Source organism: Homo sapiens, chromosome 19 (assembly GCF_000001405.40).
Source record: "Homo sapiens chromosome 19, GRCh38.p14 Primary Assembly".
Classification (NCBI taxonomy): Eukaryota; Metazoa; Chordata; class Mammalia; order Primates; family Hominidae; genus Homo; species Homo sapiens.
In genome coordinates, this window is record NC_000019.10 from 6,197,151 (window position 1) to 6,215,018 (window position 17,868).

The window sequence follows — 17,868 nt, forward strand, 5'->3', positions numbered from 1 at the left end:
CTGTAGTCCCAGCTACTCGGGAGGCTGAGGCAGGAGAATGGAGTGAACCCGGGAGGCGGAGCTTGCAGTGAGCCGAGATCACGCCACTGTACTCCAGCCTAGGCGACAGAGCGAGACTCTGTCTCAAAAAAAAAAAAAAAAAAAAAAAAAAAAAGAAGGTAGAGCCCAGAGTGGGCACTGCCTTCCCAATGACAGGGGCATGAAAATATGTTGTGGATGGGAGGGAGGGACTGGGAGCCCACATACCTCAGCTCCTCCTGGGGATGAACTAGGCTGCACACCAGGTGGGGAATGTGTGTGGTAGGTTCATTTCCTTCTATGCTCCTCCTTCTCTTCACTCCAGCCCCCAACCCCCCCCTTTTTTTTTTTTTTTTTTTTTTTTTTTTTTTGGAGACAGAGTCTCCCTCTGTTCCCCAGGCTGGAGTACAGAGGTGCGATCTCTGTTCACTGCAACCTCCACCTCCCAGGCTGAAATGATTCTCCTGCCTCAGCCTCCCGAGTAGCTGGGATTACAGGTGCCCGACACGATGCCTGGCTAATTTTTGTATTTTTAGTAGAGATGGGGTTTCACCACGTTGGCCAGGCCTCAAGTGATCCGCCCACCTTGGCCTCCCAAAGTGCTGAGATTACAGGCATGAGCCACCGCACCCAGCCTGTTATCTCTCTTTTTTTTTTTTTTTTTTTGAGATGGAGTCTCACTATGTCACCCAGGCTGGAGTACAGTGCCGCGATCTCGGCTCACTGCAACCTCCGCCTCCTGGGTTCAAGCAATTCTCCTGCTTCAGCCTCCAGAGTAGCTGGGACTCCAAGTGCGCGCCACCACGCCCGGCTAATTTTTGCATTTTTTAGTAGAGACGGTTTCACCATATTGGACAAGCTGGTCTCAAACTCCTGACCTCGTGATCCGCCCACCTCGGCCTCCCAAAGTGCTGGGATTACAGGCATGACCCCACGTCTGGCTGCCTGTTACCTCTTTTAAGATGCTTCTCCCTCCCTCCTTTGCCTGGTCAGTGTCTACCCATTGTTCAGAGAAGCCTTCCCTGGCCACCCCCATAACTCGGTGGGAATCCTGTGCCTCCCTGCTGGACCCTCCCACCCCTGCTGCCCACTGTAATTTCGTTTGAAGATCTGTCTGCCCAAGCCCAGCAAACTAGATGCCCCCAGACAGTGACAAGGAAAACAAAGATACTTTGAAGACCATGTCCTCGGACAGATTCAGAGTCCACGACAGAAAGGCACTCAACACCCAGGAAAGAAAAACAGAGTTTGGGGCTCCTTGGCTCCTGGGTGAGGGTAGTGGTGTTCCCAGAGAAGCCAGTTTGAGAGTGGGGATCTAGCGCTTCAGGGCTGGCCAAGGCCGTTCAGCCAGTGTTGGGATCCTTTAGGGTTCAATCTATCTCTTCAGAAGTTGCCTGATGGGATGCGGGCATGGAGAGCACCACCATAGGGTGCCCGGCTGGGTGTATGGGGGTTTGGGGGTGCAGGTGGTTAGCAGTTGTCAGAAGTGTCTGGTCCCGCCGGGCGTGGTGGCTCATGCCTGTAATCCCAGCACTTTGGGAGGCCGAGGTGGGTGGATCACCTGAGGTCAGGAGTTCGAGACCAGCCTGACCAACATGTTGAAACCCCGTCTCTACTAAAAATACAAAATTAGCTGGGTGTGGGGGCGCATGCCTGTAATCCCAGGTACTTGGGAGGCTGAGGCAGAAGAATCGCTTAAACCCAGGAGGCAGAGTTCGCAGTGAGCTGAGATCATGCCATTGCACTCCAGCCTGAGAAACAAGAGTGAAACTCCATCTCAAAAAAGAAAAAAAAAAAAAAAAAGAAGTGTCTGGTCCCTGGGGAGGAGACGGCGCCCGGCAGGGACAGTGGGCCTACAGCTGACCTGTCTGCTTGCTGGTGGGTTTCCTGCTGAACTCCTCTCTGGGTCAGTGCGTCTCACTGTCCACCTGTCCCTGCATCCCCTTCTGTGCCTCGCTGGTCATCTTTCTCCCTTGGCAATCCACTTCATACACCACGCCTCCTCCGTCTGCCATCTCTCAGTGCCACGCTCCTGCCTGTGCTCCCATCTCTCCCTGGTTTTGCCCCTGACACGCCACCTGCTCGCCTCTCTCTAGGTCCATCTGGGGGTCTCCGGCCGCCGCTGACCCGCCTGTCCGCAGGCTGAGCTACTCGGACCACGGAGCGCGACGGGGAGGCGCGACTGCGGCTCAGCAAGGACTAAGTTAGCAACAAGACACTCCTCACTGTGCACGACATGGTCGCGAGCACGGCCATCAAGTACGCCAACAACATCGCGCCCGGCTCCAACAGCTGCCACCTGCTCACCTACATCGAGTACCACCAGCAGTGTCTCGGCGTCGAGAAGTCTTTCTTCAAAGTACCGCCAGGCGGTCCGCGCCTGCGCGCCCCTCCCGCCCCTCCTGCGCCTGCGCGCCTCTTCTGCACCCACCCTCTTGCGCCTGCGCGCCACTTATTTCACCTCCTGCGCCAGCGCAGCGCTCCAGGGCCTTTCTTCCCCCGCCCCTCCCCGCGTCCTGCGCCTGCGCGCCTTTCTTCCCCCGGTAAGCCTGCGCGCCGCTCCGGCCCACTTGCTTCTGCGCCTGCGCGCCGCTGCAGGGCCTTCCTCCCCCATCTCCCCCCGCCTCCTACGCCTGCGCGCCACTACATCCCTTCTGCGCCTGCGCAGTGTTACTCTCCTGTGACTGCCACTTGTCTGACTCGCATGTTTGTTTTAACGGATTCCCTGAGGCTGCCTGAGAGCCAGAAATGAAAAGCTGCAGACTTAGGGGCCCTGGTTCAGATCCCAGAGCAGCCATTAGCTACGTTTTCTTGCACGAAAACTTTGTGCCTTTGTGCCTCTGTTTCCCTATATGAAAACTTTACATATAAATATATATATATATATAAAGGCCAGGCGCGGTGGCTCACGCCTTAATCCTAGCACTTTGGGTGTCCGAGGCAGGCAGATCACTTGAGGTCAGGAGTTCGAGACCAGCCTGGCCAACATGGTGAAACCCTGTCTTTACGAAAAATACAAAAATTAGCCAGGCATGGTGGTGCATGCCTGTAATCCCAGCTACTTGGGAGGCTGGAGGCAGGAGAATCACTCCAACCCGGGAGGCAGAGGCAGTGAGCCCAGATGGTGCCACTGCACTCCAGCCTGGGCAACAGCAGAGCAAGACTGTCTCAAAAAAAAAAAAAAAAAGAAAAGTCATTCCAATACCCATAGTAAACTGGATCCTCCGGTAAAAATAAAGTTAAAAAAATAAAAAAGTAAACATATAAAAATATGTATTATTATATATACATTTAAAGTATAGTTTTTATAAATGTACAGTATATAAAACGTCTGTTTATGGATAAATTTTATGCGTGCTACACTTTTATTTATTTATTTATTTATTTTTGAGACGGAGTCTTGCTCTGTTGCCCAGGCTGGAGTGCAGTGGCGCGATCTCAGCTCACTGCAAGCTCTGCCTCCCGGGTTCACGCCATTCTCCTGCCTCAGCCTCCTGAGTAGCTGGGACTACAGGCGCCCACCACCACGCCCGGCTAATTTTTTGTATTTTTGGTAGAGACAGGGTTCACCGTGTCAGCCAGGATGGTCTCGATCTCCTGACCTTGTGATCCGCCCTCCTTGGCCTCCCAAAGTGCTGGGATTACAGGTGTGAGCCACCGTGCCCGGCCCTTTTATGTTAAATTTAATATAAAATATTTTCTTTTATATCAGCATTTTTATGTAAATATATAAAATATAACAGCAGCTAGCTCACAGCTTTGCTGCATGGATTCAGTGAGTTTACACACATCGAATAGCTCTGGCACACACAAAGCATTGCACCAGCATTCACTATTTATTATTTTTATGGTTTTGTTTGTTTGAGACGGAGTCTTGCTCTGTCACTCAGGCTGGAGTGCAGTGGCCCAATCTTGGCTCACTGCAAGCTCCGCCTCCCGGGTTCACGCCATTCTCCTGCCTCAGCCTCCCCAGTAGCTGGGACTACAGGCGCCCGCCACCACACCTGGCTAATTTTTTGTATTTTTAGTAGAGACGGGGTTTCACCGTGTTAGCCAAGATGGTCTCCATCTCCTGACCTCGTGATCCACCGGCCTCGGCCTCCCAAAGTGCTGGGATTACAGGCATAAGCCACCGCGCCTGGCCTCTTTTTTGTTTTTGTTTTTGTTTTTGAGACAGTCTCTCACTGTCGCCAGGGCTGGAGTGCAGTGGTGCGATCTTGGCTCACTGCAACCTCCGCCTCCCGGGTTCAAGCAATTCTCCTGCCTCAGTCTCCTGAGTAGCTGGGGTTACAGGTGCCTGCCACCACATCCAGCTAATTTTTTGTATTTTTAGTAAAGACGGGGGTTTCACCATGTTGGCCAGGCTGGTCTCAAACTCCTGACCTCGTGATTCACCCACCTCGGCCTCCCAAAGTGCTGAGATTACAGGCATGAGCCACTGTGCCTGGCCATTATTATGGTTTTTACTGTGTCTCTTCTCCAGTGGCATTTCCTCAGCGAGGTCTTTCCTTGCTACCCTGGTTCCCCGAACCTGCCCTCTTCCCCCTCTCTGTGACAGCCCCTTTAAAAGTTGTCTGCCCAGGGCCAGGCACGGTGGCTCACGCCTGTAATCCCAGCACTTTGGGAGGTTGAGATGGGTGGATCACTTGAGGTCAGGAGTTTGAGACCAACCTGGGCAACATGGTGAAACCCTGTCTCTATTAAACATACAAAAAAAATTAGCCAGGCATGGTGGCACACCTGTAATCCCAGCTACTGGGAGGTGGAGGTTGTAGTGAGCCGAGATCATGCCACTGCACTCCAGCCTGGGCGACAGAGCAAGACTCTGTCACAAAAAAATATTCTTCCCAGTTTTCATCATCATGGCTACAAGTTACCAAGGTCATTTGTTTATTTGGTCATTTCCTTGAGGGCGAGAGGCCAGATTGCCTTGTTGTTGTACCAGCGCCAACCCTCTGATGTTTGTTGAATTAATGAACACCCATTTTTCAGATCAGGAAAGGGGATAAGAGACCTCCTGTGACTTGTTCTGTCAATGTAATAAACAAGTAAATTATGCAATAGGTAAGACAGTGTTCAGTGATTCAGAGGAATCCAAAGCACGTAAAGGAGTAAACTGTTGAGGTGGGGGCAGAATTTAAAAGTATGGCGGCTAGCCAGGTGCAGTGCCTCACACCTGTAATCCCAGCACTTTGGGAGGCAGAGGAGGGCAGATCACTTGAGGTCAGGAGTTCGAGACCAGCCTCACCAATATGGTGAAACCCCGTCTCTACTAAAAATACAAAAATTAGCTGGGTATGGTAGTGCATGCCTGTAATCCCAGCTACTTGGGAGGCTGAGGCAGAAGAATCACTTGAACCCGGGAGCCAGAGGTTGCAGTGAGCCGAGATCACGCCACTGCACTCCAGCCTGGGCAACAGAGTGAGACTCTGTCTCAAAAAAAAAAGAAAGAAAGAAAGAAAAAGGTGGCTAAGGAGAGCCTCACTGAGAGAAAGTGATATTTCAACAAAGACTTCAATGAAGAGAAAAGATCTATGGGATGGTGTTCCAGGTCAAGGGGAGTTTGTGCAAAGGCCCTGAGGCAGGACAGTGCCTGCTGTGTTGAAGGAGCAGTGAGGAGGAGGCCCCTGTGGCTGGAGCAGAGTGAGGGAGGGAGGGGGTGGGGAAGGTTGAGAAGTGCCTGGTGGGCCTTGTGGGGGACTTGGCTTTTACCCGAGGGGAGGGGGAGTGGGAGCCATGGAGGCAGAGGAGGGATATGCCCTGACTCAGGTGCTCACGGCGCTCTCTGGCTACTGTGGGGAGGACAGACTGAGGGGAAAGAGACCAGCTGAGATTGAGATGATGATAGTTTGGACCAAGATGTAGCAGGAGAGAGGGTGAGAAGCGTTCGGATTCTGAAAGCAGAGCCCACAGAATTTGTTGGTGTCTCAGCAAAACCCGCTGAGAATGACCAAAGTTTTCTGGTCAGTGCCACTTGAAGGATGGAGCTGCTGTTGTCTGAGATTATGGTAGGTTGGAGTGGAGGGAGGAGATTTAGGGATGAGGGCTGTGGGTAACATCCCTCCCCTAGCTGGGCTGTTTGGGTTTGAGATGCGTGTTAGACGAGGAAATGAGGGGTGGGCAGTTGTATCCAAGAGTCTGGAGTGGTGGGGAGGGGCTCCACCTGGATCCGATGGACTCACCTGAGTGAATGGAACCAAGAGAGTTACACCATCTTAAATTGTCAAGTCGATCCATATGTCGGCACAGATAATCACAGTGCATAGGCAAAGCTTGAGCTACCAGGGCGTTCGCCCCAACATTTTATCTAATAAAAGTGAAACCAGGCTGGGCATGGTGGCTTATACCAGCCTGGACAACATAGTGAGACCGCCATCTCTAAAAAATATGAAAATTAGCCGGGCGTGGTGGTGCATGTGTAGTCCCAACTACTCAGAAGCCTGAGGCAGGAGGATTGCTTAAGCCAAGGAGGTCGAGGCTGCCATGAGCCATGAACGCACCATTGCACTCCAGCCTTGGGTGACAGAGCAAGACCTTGTCTCTCTTTTTTTTTTTTGAGATGGAGTCACGCTCTGTCACCCAGGCTGGAGTGCAGTGGTGCGCGGTCTCGGCTCACTGCAAGCTCCGCCTCCCGGGTTCACGCCATTCTCCTGCTTCAGCCTCCCGAGTAGCTGGGACTACAGACACCTGCCACCACGCCCGGCTAATTTTTTGTATTTTTCATAGAGATGGGGTTTCACCGTGTTAGCCAGGATGGTCTTGATCTCCTGACCTCATGATGCGCCCGCCTTGGCTTCCCAAAGTGCTGGGATTACAGGCGTGAGCCACTGTGTCCAGCCAAAACCCTGTCTCATTAAAAAAAAAAAAAAAAAGTGAAAACAACAACAAAAAAACCCAGCAGCCAGAGCCTACATAAGTATCAGCCAATACGGGGGATGATTAAATCATGTCATCTCTATACTAGATGATATTATGTTAGATTTGATATTGCAGAGAAATATTTAAAGACTGGGGAAAACAGTCAAGATGAATGGTTTTGTGAACAAAGGCAGGTCTTGATAACGTACATGTAGTATTGCCCTGGCTCTGTAAAGTATGCATGCTTAAAAATGTCAGGAAGGTATTTTGTTTGTATTTTTTTTTTTTTTTCCGGGATTTCTCAATCTCAGGGCCGTTGTCCTTAGGGGCCGAATCATTCTTTGTGGTGGAGAATGTCCTGTGAGTATCTAGTTTCCATCAATGCCAGTGGCGTTTCATTCCCCGAGCTATGACAACCCCAAATGTCTCCAAGTATTTCCAAATGTCCCCTGAGGAACAGAGTCACCCCCTGGCTGAGAGCCCCAGTTCTAGATGAAAGTGTGGTTGCTTGTCATGAGGGGGATGGGTTATTTTATCAGAGAAAACAACAGAAGAAACAGGACAAGAGAGGTGTCTGTAATCCCAGTGCTTTGGGAGGCCAAGGCGAGTGGATCGCTTGAACCCAGGAGTACAAGACCAGCCTGGGTGACATAGTGAGATCCCATCTCTACAAAAAAATTAAAAATTAAAAAATTAGCCAGGGGTGGTGGTGTACACCTGTAGTCCCAGCTACTTGGGGGACTGAGGCGGGAGGATTGCTGGGGCTGGGGGAGGTTGAGACTGCAGTGAGCCATGATTGCGCTATTGCATTCCAGCCTGGGCAACAGAGCAAGACCTTGTTTCAGAAAAAAAAAAAAAAAAAAAAAAAGAAGAAGAAGAAAGAAAAAGAAGAAACAGGCGACAGAGAAAAGGGAGCCAAAGGTTCTCAGCCTGAGGCTCCCGGGCAGGTGGGGCGGGGATGGCTGAGCCTCCTAGTGCCTCACGAGGACCTCCCTCCCCTAGCTGGGCCTGGAGCGCTTCCACAGCGTGGGAATCATGGGTCTCAACTCAGAAGAGTGGGTCATCGCCAGCATTGGTGCCATCATGGCAGGGTAAAGGGCACGCGGCCTCTCCCCGGAGTGTTTTGCGGGCAGGAAGCCACCAGCCCACCTTCTATGGGATCCCAAGGAAGAGTCCTCAGGACAGGGAGCTGACAAGAGCTCCCACTTAAGTCTACGCTTAGTGGGATTTTTCAATGGCCCAGTCCTGAGCATGCTCAGCTCACCTTTCCAGACAGTCTCTATCTAGTGAACTCATATACATCCTGTGAATCCCCGCATTCATGTCCCCTCTTCCAGAAAGCCCTCCCCACTTCTTGAGGCTCTCCAGCACTGAGCCCTCTCTCCACCCATCCAGAACATTGGGGAACCCCTTGAGAGCAAGATCCAAGCCTGAACTGTCCCTGAATTCCACCTCCCAACAGGGTATGTTGTGAGTGTCAGGTACTGGGGATTCCCAGGAACCTTGCACTCACCCAGCAGGGAGTAGCTGGGATTACAGGCATGCGCCACCAGATCCGGCTAATTTTTTTTGCATTTTTAGTAGAGACAGGGTATCATCATGTTGTCCAGGCTGGTCTCGAACTCCTGGCCTCAAGTGATCCGCCCGCTTCAGCCTCCCAAAGTGCTAGGATTACAGGCATGAGCCACCACGCCTGGCTGATATCAATTTTAAATAATAATATGCTAAGAGCTCTAATGGAAAAAGCAGACAGAACTTACAACAGGTGGGTTCTTGTAAGCAGAGATGGAAACTCTAAGAAATCAAAAGGAAATGTTGGTCATCAAAAACACTGACATAAAAAAAGCATGCTTCCAATGGGCTCGGCAGTGGACTGAATACAGCCAAGGAAATCTTGAGTGAGCCTGAAGCTAGGTCAATAGAAACATCCCATGCTGAAAATCTTAAAGAAAAAAAGAGGCCAGGCACGGTGGCTCATGCCTATAGTCCCAGCACTTTAGGAGGCTGAGTGGGGAGGACTGCCTGAGCCCAGGCACTCAAGGCCAGCCTGAGAAACTTAGCAAGACCTTGCCTCTATTTAAAAAAAAAAAATTAATTAAGAAGAAAAAAGAAAAGACAAAAACACAATGAAATGAAATGAACAAATGGAAAAGAACCGCGGGACAATACAGAAAGTGTAACATACACATAATGAGAGTTGGTTACAGATCTGAGGCCGAGGCCGGTGGATCACCTGAGGTCAGGAGTTTGAGACCAGCCTGGCCAACATGGTGAAACCCTGTCTCTACTGAAAATACAAAAATAGCCAGGCATGGTGGCAGACACCTGTAATCCCAGCTACTTGGGAGGCTGAGGCAAGAGAGTCACCTGAACCTGGGAGGCGGAGGATGCAGTGAGCCGAGACCGCACGACTGCACTCCAGCCTGGGCAACAAGAGCGAAACTCCATGTGAAAAAAAAGAGAAAGAAAGAAAAAAGAAAAAATCACTGAGAATTCTCCAGGAACTCACAAGTATCAACAAGGAGACGTTTAAAAAAAATTAAGGCCAGGTGCAGTGGCTCACTCCTGTAATCCCAGCACTTTGGGAGGCCAAGGTGGGAGGATCGCTTGAGCCCAGAAGTTCAACACCAGCCTGGGCAACATATCGAGACCTCATCTTTACAAAAATTAAAAAACAAACAAACAAAATTAGCTGAGCCTGATGGCATGTGCTTGTGGCCCCAGCTACTCTGGAAGCCATCGTGGGAGGATTGCTTGAGCCTGGGAGGGTGAGGCTGCAGTGAGCCGTGATAGCGCCACCCCATGCCAGCCTGGGTGACAGAATGAGACCCCGCCTCAAAAAACAAAACAAATGGGCAGGGTGCGGTGGCTCACGCCTGTAATCCCAGCACTTTGGGAGGCCAAAGCGGGCAGATCACCTGAGGTCAGGAGTTCAGAACCAGCCTGGCCAACATGGTGAAAGCCCCTCTCTAAAAAAATACAAAAATTAGTCGGGCATGATGGCGGGTGCCTGTAATCCCAGATATTTGGGAGGCTGAAGTGGCAGAATCACTTGAATCCAGAAGGCAGAGGTTGTAGTGAGCCAAGATTGTGCCATTACACTCCAGCCTGGGTGACAGAGCGAGACTCCGTCTAAAACAAAAACAAATTAAAATTAAAACGTCAGAACAACAGATAAAAATATTCTGAAACATAAGCGGATTCATTTATATGAAGAAAAAAGCATGCAAGAATATCTGGGAAAATTCTGAAGCAGAATTATAAAGGGAAACTACCACTACCAGACTTTTTTTTTTTTTCAGACGGAGTTTCACTCTTGTTGCCCAGGCTGGAGTGCAATGGCTTGATCTCGGCTCAACGCAACCTCCACCTCCCGGGTTCAAGCGATTCTCCTACCTCAGCCTCCCGAGTAGCTGGGATTACAGGTATGCGCCACCACACCCGGCTAATTTTGTATTTTTAGTAGAGACAGGGTTTCTCCATATTGGTCAGGCTGGTCTCGAACTCCCGACCTCAGGTGATCTGCCCGCCTCGGCCTCCCAAAGTGCTGGGAGTACAGGCGTGAGCCACTGCGTCCGGGCACACTACCAGATATTAATTAGGTCACACAGTGGCAGAAATGTAAAGGTGAGTACTGTGCATATGAGGGAAGCCAGAGAGAGACACAAACGTATGCAGGAATTGAAAAATGCAACCAAAGACGGCATCTCAAATAAGTGAAGACAGGTTATTCAATAAATGGGGTGGATCGCCTTGCATAGCTATTGGGGAAATAGAGCTGGGGCCCTACCTCATGGCTGAATAAATTCCAGATGGAACAAATTGAAATGTGAGAAAGAAAGAGGGAAGGGAGGCAGGAAAAGGGGGAAGAAGAATTGAATTCCTAGGAGAAATCATGGGAGAACTTAAAATAAAAACATCCTAAATAATAAACAATAACAGCCCAAAAACCATTTCAAGGAAAACTTGATCACTTGATAATGGATCACTTGAGGATAGGAGTTCCAGACCAGCCTGGGTGAGAGTGATAGTCCATCTCAAAAAAAAAAAAAGAAAGAAAAAGAGCCAAGCGCAGTGGCTTACGCCTGTAATCCCAACACTTTGGGAGGCCGAGGTGGGTGGATCATGAGGTCAGGAGTTCAAGACCAGCCTGGCCAAGATGGCGAAACCCCGTCTCTACCCAAAATACAAAAATTACCAGGGTGTGGTGGTGAGCTCGTGTAATCCCAGCTACTCAGGAGGCTGAGGCAGGAGAATGGATTGAACCCGGGAGGCGGAGGTTGTGGTCAGCTGAGCTCGCACCACTACACTCCAGCCTGGGTGACAGAGCGAGACTCCATCTCAAAAAAGTTAAAATTAAAAATTAGAAAAAATCCTGGGCAACTCGGCTTGCTGAGGCAGTTTCTTTATCTGTAGACAGGGATGAAGCAGTGCCCACCTCACGGAGTGCTTGTGAAGAGTCCATGAGACAACTCTTAGGGAAAGCCTGACTACATTTTTTTTTTTTTTGAGTTGGAGTTTCGCTCTTGTTGCCCAGGCTGGAGTGCAATGGTGTGATCTTGGCTCACCGCAACCTCTGCCTCCTGGGTTCAAGCAATTCTCCTGCCTCAGCCTCCCGAGTAGCTGGGATTATAGGTGCCTGCCAGCACGCCCAGCTAATTTTTCCTATTTTTAGTAGAGACAGCCTTCACCATGTTGGTTAGGCTGGTCTCAAACTCCTGACTTCAGGTGATCCACCCGCCTTGGCCTCCCAAAGTGCTGGGATTAGAGGCGTGAGCCACCTCGCCCAGATTTTTTTTCTTTTTTTTTAGTACAGGGTCTCTCCTGTCGCCCAGGCTGGAGTGCAGTGCAGTGGTGCAATCTCGGCTCACTGCAACCTCTGCCTCCTGGGTTCAAGAGATTCTTGTGACTCAGCCTCCCAAGTAGCTGGGTCTACAGGTGTGCACTGTACTTTAGGCTAATTTTTGTGTTTTTACTAGAGACAGGGTTTCGCCATGTTGCCCAGGCTGGTCTTGAACTCCTGGCCTCAAATGATCCACCCGCCTCGGCCTCCTAAAGTGCTGGGATTATAGGTGTGAGCCACCATGCCTGGCCAGAAAGCCCTACCACGTTTTTACACATCCATAGTCCTTCCACTGCACCTTGGAGGGTCTGGGAACCCTGAAGGAACCACTGTAGACCTTCTTTCACTCCATATTCTTACTTTAGGAGCTCAGACCCAAAACCATACCCCGAAGGCCTAAAAGAACCTTTCTCTGGTAAGGCACGGGGCAGGGAAAGCCACACTCTGATGCTGGGAATGGATCTTTTGGTTCCAGAGTAGAAGGGAGAAGACATGCTCCAGAGTCCCCAGCGCTAAGCTGAGCCCAGCTGAGTCCCCAGCTGCTGCCTGCTGACAAAAGTGATCTCAATCAGTGGCTGCCACGGTGATCCTGTAATGTGGGCTGCTCAGGAATGGAACTCCTGCTCCTCTGGGTGGAGCTGGAGCTGGAGCACAGAGGGGACAGATCTGCTCAAATGGGGCCAGTGACAGCTTTGTCTCCTGGAGGTTCACTGAGCTCTGCCACACTGAGGCCAGAGAAAAACCCACCAGAGGGAAACTGGGAGATGGCACGCTGGCTCCTGGGAAAAAATGTCTTTGCCTACATTTTTATTTCCGTCCATCCAACCATCCATCCATCCATCCATCCATCCATCCATCCATCCATCCATCCACGCATCCATCCTTCCTTCCTTCCATCCACCCATTAACCCATCCATTGATCCACCCATCCATTCATTCTTCCATCCACTCACCCATCTATCCATCCTTCCTACCATCCATCCTTTCCATCCATCCACCCATCTGCCCTTCCTTCCCTCCTTCCGTCCTTCCCTCCCTCCTTTCCTCCTTTCCTTCCTTCCTTCCATCCACCCATCGATCCATCCATCCTTCCATCCTTTCTTCCACCCACCCACCCATCTATTCATCCATGGTCCACCCAACCAATCATCCACTCATCCATCAAACCACCCATCCACTCACCCACCCATCTGTTCATCCATCATCCATGCATCCACCTTATGAAACCAAGTTTTCTTCTCAACCCAAACCTTGCTGTCTGCTTCCAAGTAGAGAGCACAGCATCAGAAGCAGGATGTGAGCCGAATTCTCTGCCCTCTTGAATTGCTGGTAGCATCGTCTCCAGCCTTGCTCACACTCCCCACCCCCACCAGGCTTGGTCCCAACCCTCCTTCTCTGTTTTGGTCACTGATCTGGGGGCACTGGGACACGTAGTCGGGGCAGGGGGCCCCAGGCTACCTCGCAAGCCTGCCCACTGACTGGACAGGAGGAACCAGGCAGATGCATGCGTCTGCTTTCCCATCTGACTTTATTTCACTTTTTTTTTCTATAAAACTCCTCCATAATTTCACAATTTAACAAAAGTTTAAAATCCAGGAAAGAAACAATCCTGTAACTCGTTACAAACACGATTCTCCTTATTCCTTTTATCCAGGAGTTGGTCTCGGGCCGATGAGTGTCCTAGTTCCTAGTGAGACACGTTCTTTGTAAAAACCCTTATGGGCAAGAAAGGTATTCGATACCATTTGCTTTCCGGCGTCGGTTTACATTTTTGTTCAGGAGAGAGCAAAACACAGAGATTTGCACTGGGGGCAGGCGGCTTAACAGGAAACACGTGGCAATCACAAAGTGCCAGGCCCCTTTCCTATGGAAGTGTCCCCAGAGCCCTCGTGGGCCCAGCCGCCGGGCAGCTGGGGTGGGGTGGGAGAGCAGCTGGGGATGCTGCCTTGGGAGCCCATGCTGCCCAGCACGTCCATCAGGTGGTCACGGAGCCAGCCCTGGGCCCAGAGCAGCTCTGGAGGACAACGTGAGGCCTTCCGGCCAGAGGAGGTAACTGAGAACTGGGTTGGTGCTTCCGGAGGCCTTGGAAACGGCAGGAAGGGCCAGACGCCACCACCGAGAGCAGGCGGGGGAGCCCGACCCTCCTCTGGCTGAGTGGAAGGCTGCTCGAGTCGCTGTGTGGATTTTGGGGGACTCCTGCGAAGGAGAAAGGCCAGCACCCTGGGCTGAGGTTCCTGTCCGTGACCCCGGCGGCCTCTTGTGCGTAGAGCTCCCAGCAGCACGGGCCCCCGGTCAGCCCCCCTCAGGCCAGTTCCTTCAGTCCAATGTCTTAGTTTCCAGAGAAGAAAGGAAGCGCCCCATGGTGGAGTATTGTTGGCCGCCCTGGGAAGGGGAGAGGGGGCACAGGGGCCTGCCCTCTTCCTGATACCTGAAGGCAGTGGGGCCGGGAGAGAAACAGAGCAGGTGGCGAGGAGTCCCGGAGGCTTCCTCCGAAGGTTCTCGGGCCTTTCCCCGAGAGTTCTGGGGAGTTTCCCCAGGACAGCTGGCATTGGGGGCAGCCTTGGAGGCATGGGTCCCCACCAAGGAGTGTTCAGGATCTGCTGACAGAATCAGAGCAGGGACAAGATGAGGGACCTCAGGGAGGGACAGATGGAGCCCCCCAAGTCTGAACTCATAGGCTGGGGAGGAGGAGACATCTAGGTGGGTTCGAGGGGGTGCGAGCCCACCTCCAGGCCCTCAGCCCTCTTTTCCTCATAACTTGGTCAGGGCACAAGGACTTGAAAGGACTTGAAAGTCAGGGGGTTGAGAGGACTGGAGGCGCCTCGAGTCAATGTCTGGGAAACAGAGGCTAACCAGGCAGGCCTCCAGCCCCTGGGACCCCCAGCCACGATGGGCTGGCTCCGCGGGAGCGTCCTGGCCCTGGAAGAGTGGGCCGGGAAGGAGGACCGGCTTGGCCCCTGGAGAATCTCAGGCATACCAGGAGTGGGGCTGCGGGCGCGGCACCAGCATGAATTGCGGCGGTGGAGGCCGGGGCGGGCCAGGCCGCGACCAGAGAGAAAGGCAGCCTGGGAGGGCCAGCCCGGCCAACCCACCGGGCCTGCTGATGGCCGAGCCCACGCTCGAGGGGCTGACCAGAGTTCAATGCGCCTCAGAAAACTCCATAAACTATCCCGTCTTATTTGGCAAAAGCTCATATTTTTTTCAAAGTTTGAAGACTTGAATGAAAGAGAGGAAGAGGAGCCTATGGGAGGAGGCCGAGCCCCAGGGCGGCTGATGCGAGTCTGTCCGCGGAGACTGTTGGCGCTAGTCTGAGTAGAGCCCGAGAGCAGACTGGTGGCTCCCGGGCGCCCTGAGGACTCGCTGCCCTTTGTAGTGTTGGCTGACCCCCCCGGGAGCCCCGGTAGGAGGCGGCGGCATCCTTGGAACGGCAAAGGGAGAATTCCTCCATGCGCCTGGAGAGGGCCAGCTGCCGTGCCTGGCTCGGCCTCCAGCCCCACACCACCGCAGAGACATCTTAACCTACAAGCCCCACCGTACGCACCCCCCACCCACCCCACGTGCACTGCTGCCACAGAAACGCACATGGACACTGCTCTTGACCAGACAGTGCACACACATATATAATAGAGAGAACTATACAGCACAGACCCCAGCGCAGCGCGAGCCGGGGAGGAGCCGGCGCTAGGTCTACACGGAGGACGACGCAGACACACAGGCAGGGCCTTCTGAGGTCCAGGGTGGGCGGAGGGTGTGTTCTGAACCATTCGGGAGGCTGGAGATGCCCCCCAGCCGTCGATCCGCTGCTCAGAAAGGCTGGGGCAGCGACGCCGCACAGCCCGCCGAGCAGTGGGGGCTGGTCCCAAGGCTGGGCGAGGGGCCCCCGGCCCTGTCTCTGCCCAGAGCTGCCTTCAACACCAGCCGCTCTCTGAGGGGAGCCCAGAGAGCCCGGGGGGCGGCTCCCGTGTGGCCCAGCCCGGCCCCAGGGCTCCTGGCGATGGAGCGGGGAGAGTGGGCAGGGAGCCGCCGAGGAAAGTGCAGCGGGCTGTGCGGGCGAGGACAGGGCTGTCGCTAAGGCAGTGCTGCGGGCAGGCGAGACGGGAGAGGAGGGCAGGCGAGGCCTGGCTGCAGCCTCCCAGGACCCCGGCGGTGGGGGCCCGGCACGCGGCCCAGGGTCATGTGGCCACGGCCTCCAGGCAGCTCTGCAGTTTGCGCACGGTGGTCTCGTCCAGGGAGAAGAGGTCGAAGTCGAAGGTGGTGTTGGTGACATTGAAGTGGCCAGTCTCCTCGATCAGATTCACAATCTGTAAGGTGGTGGCAGGTGGCTTCAGGGGCAGGGGGCCAAGGGTGGGGTTGCCCTGTTCCCTAACAGAGGTAGGGGCTCCTGGGGCAGCACCAGGGGCCCCCGCAGCCCACACTCCTCACAGGCACCCCGACCTCTGCCGGGCAGGACCCTCAGGGGGGCGATACCTGCTGCAGCACGTTGCGCTCCCGCAGCGCCATCAGCCTCCGGTGTAGCTCCACCAGCTCATCCGTGTAGGCCTGGGGAGGGGGGGCAGGTCTCAGCAGCGTGTGGGGGCCCTGGACCCTTCCTGCTCCCATGCCCAGCCCCACCCATGACCCAGTCCATCCCAGCACAGGACAGAGGTAGCCACATCCAAACCAAGGAAGGCCCAAGGCTGCAGGGGCAGCCCCTCAGCTCCAAGGCCACACCGGGAGGGGAGGAAGGACTGTCCCTGCTCCTGCCCAGGAAGAGTCCAACTGTGGGGTGTTGGGGGGCTCTGGGGTCCTCCACTGGCTGCAACTCCCACCACCCACCCCTCCGTAGCCTCCCCGCCTTGTCGTAGGTGCCCCCCCACCTTGTCGTAGGTGCCCTTCTTGAGGATCTTCTCAGGCTTGCTGCAGGACTCGGGGCTCCTCCGGCCTGACACCTGCAGGGAACCCAGGTCTCTGCTGAGCTGTGGCCCACACCCTCCCCAGCCCCGAAGGCCCCACAAACCCTCCTAGGACAGCCCGGCCCAGGGCTAAGCCCGGCCTCTGGTGCACCCCCTGCCTGCAGGCCCCAGGCTCACCTTGCTGTTGGGCGGGGGTGGCTTCTGGGGGGGTGGGGGCTCACGGCTGGGCAGGGAGGAGTCGGCGCTGTTGTCACTCTCGCTGTCGCTGAAGCTCAACCTGAACCGACACACGGGGGCGCATCAGGCCCCTGCCGCCACCACGGCCCCCACCCCACCCCCAGGCTCAAGCCTCTGCCCCGCACGGAGTCGGTGCCTGAGCCCACACACCCCCAACAGCTCCATTCACCTCTGCGCAGGAACCTCAACTTAAAAATACTGTGTGTGGCCACCAAGAGGAAAGAACCCCAAGGAAACCAGGCCACCCAGAGGCCCTTTGGGGGCCGCCCGAGCAGGCCAAGAGTGCTCCGGGATACCCGGGACACAAAGCCCCCCAGCCAATGGGCCTTGCTGGGCTGTGGTCCTCTGACTTGGTTCTGTGGCTTTAACAAGGGGAGGAGGAGCTGCCTGCTGAAAACCTGCCCTCTTCTCCCAGCACTGCCCTAGGGCTTCCATGGCCGCCCGTCCCTCCGATGCTCCCCTGGCCGCCTGACCCTGGTTTGCTCTGGACAGCAGGCCTCCATCAGTCACATCGGCCCCCCTGACCCTAGAGGGTGTGGTCCTAAACAGGGGTATCTGGTGGTGGGGAGAGGTCCAAGCTCTCAACCTCCCCTACCCTGGGGGGCAGGTCTTTGACCTCTGCCTCAGTTTCCCCATCTGTGAAAGGAGGCTGCTATGACCACACACAGAGCCTGGGCCCATTTTTCTCTCACTCTGCGTGCCTGGGGTCCCGCTCTGCCAGGGATATTTTGGGCTTGATCCAGTGAGAGGGGCCCCTGACAACCATCACTTCACAACACGTTTAAAACACAGCAAACCCCAGGCCTCCTAGTGAACAAGGAGGTGCCAGAAGCGGCTCGAGCACACCGGACTTCCCGGTGGGCAGCACAGCCATTGTCCCTGTTCCTGGCCTGCTCCTGCCCCGGCGCAGGCTCCGTTCATCTCTTAAACTTGCCCCTCAGTGGCCTCAGGCTGGGGCCACTCTCTGCAGCTGCCTCCCGGCTCTGGCAGCTCCAGGTCTGGCTCACGTTGCCCAGGCGA

General features: G+C 54.1%; 1 protein-coding gene and 1 long non-coding RNA gene across 8 annotated transcripts in view, besides 5 other annotated features; both read right to left on the reverse strand.

The window, feature by feature from the left end:
* The window catches only part of LOC105372255 (uncharacterized), a 74,099-nt gene extending 71,725 nt beyond the window's left edge, over nucleotides 1-2,374 (reverse strand). For both annotated transcript variants that reach the window (NR_187772.1, NR_187773.1), the window contains exon 1: nucleotides 2,326-2,374. This is a non-coding gene — a long non-coding RNA (uncharacterized LOC105372255). The remainder of the gene's footprint in view (nucleotides 1-2,325) is intronic.
* Nucleotides 1,571-2,174: an enhancer, noted in NCBI's record as "H3K4me1 hESC enhancer chr19:6198732-6199335 (GRCh37/hg19 assembly coordinates)". NCBI's record gives its function as "activates a minimal SCP1, AML or CMV promoter by ChIP-STARR-seq in naive and primed H9 embryonic stem cells {active_cell/tissue: H9 hESC(naive and primed)}" and the evidence as "EXISTENCE:reporter gene assay evidence [ECO:0000049][PMID:30033119]".
* Nucleotides 2,175-2,777: an enhancer, noted in NCBI's record as "OCT4-H3K4me1 hESC enhancer chr19:6199336-6199938 (GRCh37/hg19 assembly coordinates)". NCBI's record gives its function as "activates a minimal SCP1, AML or CMV promoter by ChIP-STARR-seq in naive H9 embryonic stem cells {active_cell/tissue: H9 hESC(naive)}" and the evidence as "EXISTENCE:reporter gene assay evidence [ECO:0000049][PMID:30033119]".
* Nucleotides 2,291-2,620: a silencer, noted in NCBI's record as "silent region_9946". NCBI's record gives its function as "represses an Ori minimal core promoter by ATAC-STARR-seq in GM12878 lymphoblastoid cells {active_cell/tissue: GM12878}" and the evidence as "EXISTENCE:reporter gene assay evidence [ECO:0000049][PMID:35858748]".
* Nucleotides 6,857-6,906: an enhancer, noted in NCBI's record as "active region_13821". NCBI's record gives its function as "activates an Ori minimal core promoter by ATAC-STARR-seq in GM12878 lymphoblastoid cells {active_cell/tissue: GM12878}" and the evidence as "EXISTENCE:reporter gene assay evidence [ECO:0000049][PMID:35858748]".
* Nucleotides 6,927-6,976: an enhancer, noted in NCBI's record as "active region_13822". NCBI's record gives its function as "activates an Ori minimal core promoter by ATAC-STARR-seq in GM12878 lymphoblastoid cells {active_cell/tissue: GM12878}" and the evidence as "EXISTENCE:reporter gene assay evidence [ECO:0000049][PMID:35858748]".
* Nucleotides 13,231-17,868, reverse strand: part of MLLT1 (MLLT1 super elongation complex subunit) — a 69,595-nt gene continuing 64,957 nt past the window's right edge. For all 6 annotated transcript variants that reach the window (XM_047438846.1, NM_005934.4, XM_011528023.1 and 3 more), the window contains 4 exons: nucleotides 16,789-16,888; nucleotides 16,576-16,647; nucleotides 16,187-16,258; nucleotides 13,231-16,020 (listed from right to left, as the gene is read on the reverse strand). In XM_047438846.1, coding sequence (XP_047294802.1) covers nucleotides 15,892-16,020; nucleotides 16,187-16,258; nucleotides 16,576-16,647; nucleotides 16,789-16,888 — 373 coding nt within the window. In that variant the 3' untranslated portion in view covers nucleotides 13,231-15,891. The remainder of the gene's footprint in view (nucleotides 16,021-16,186; nucleotides 16,259-16,575; nucleotides 16,648-16,788; nucleotides 16,889-17,868) is intronic.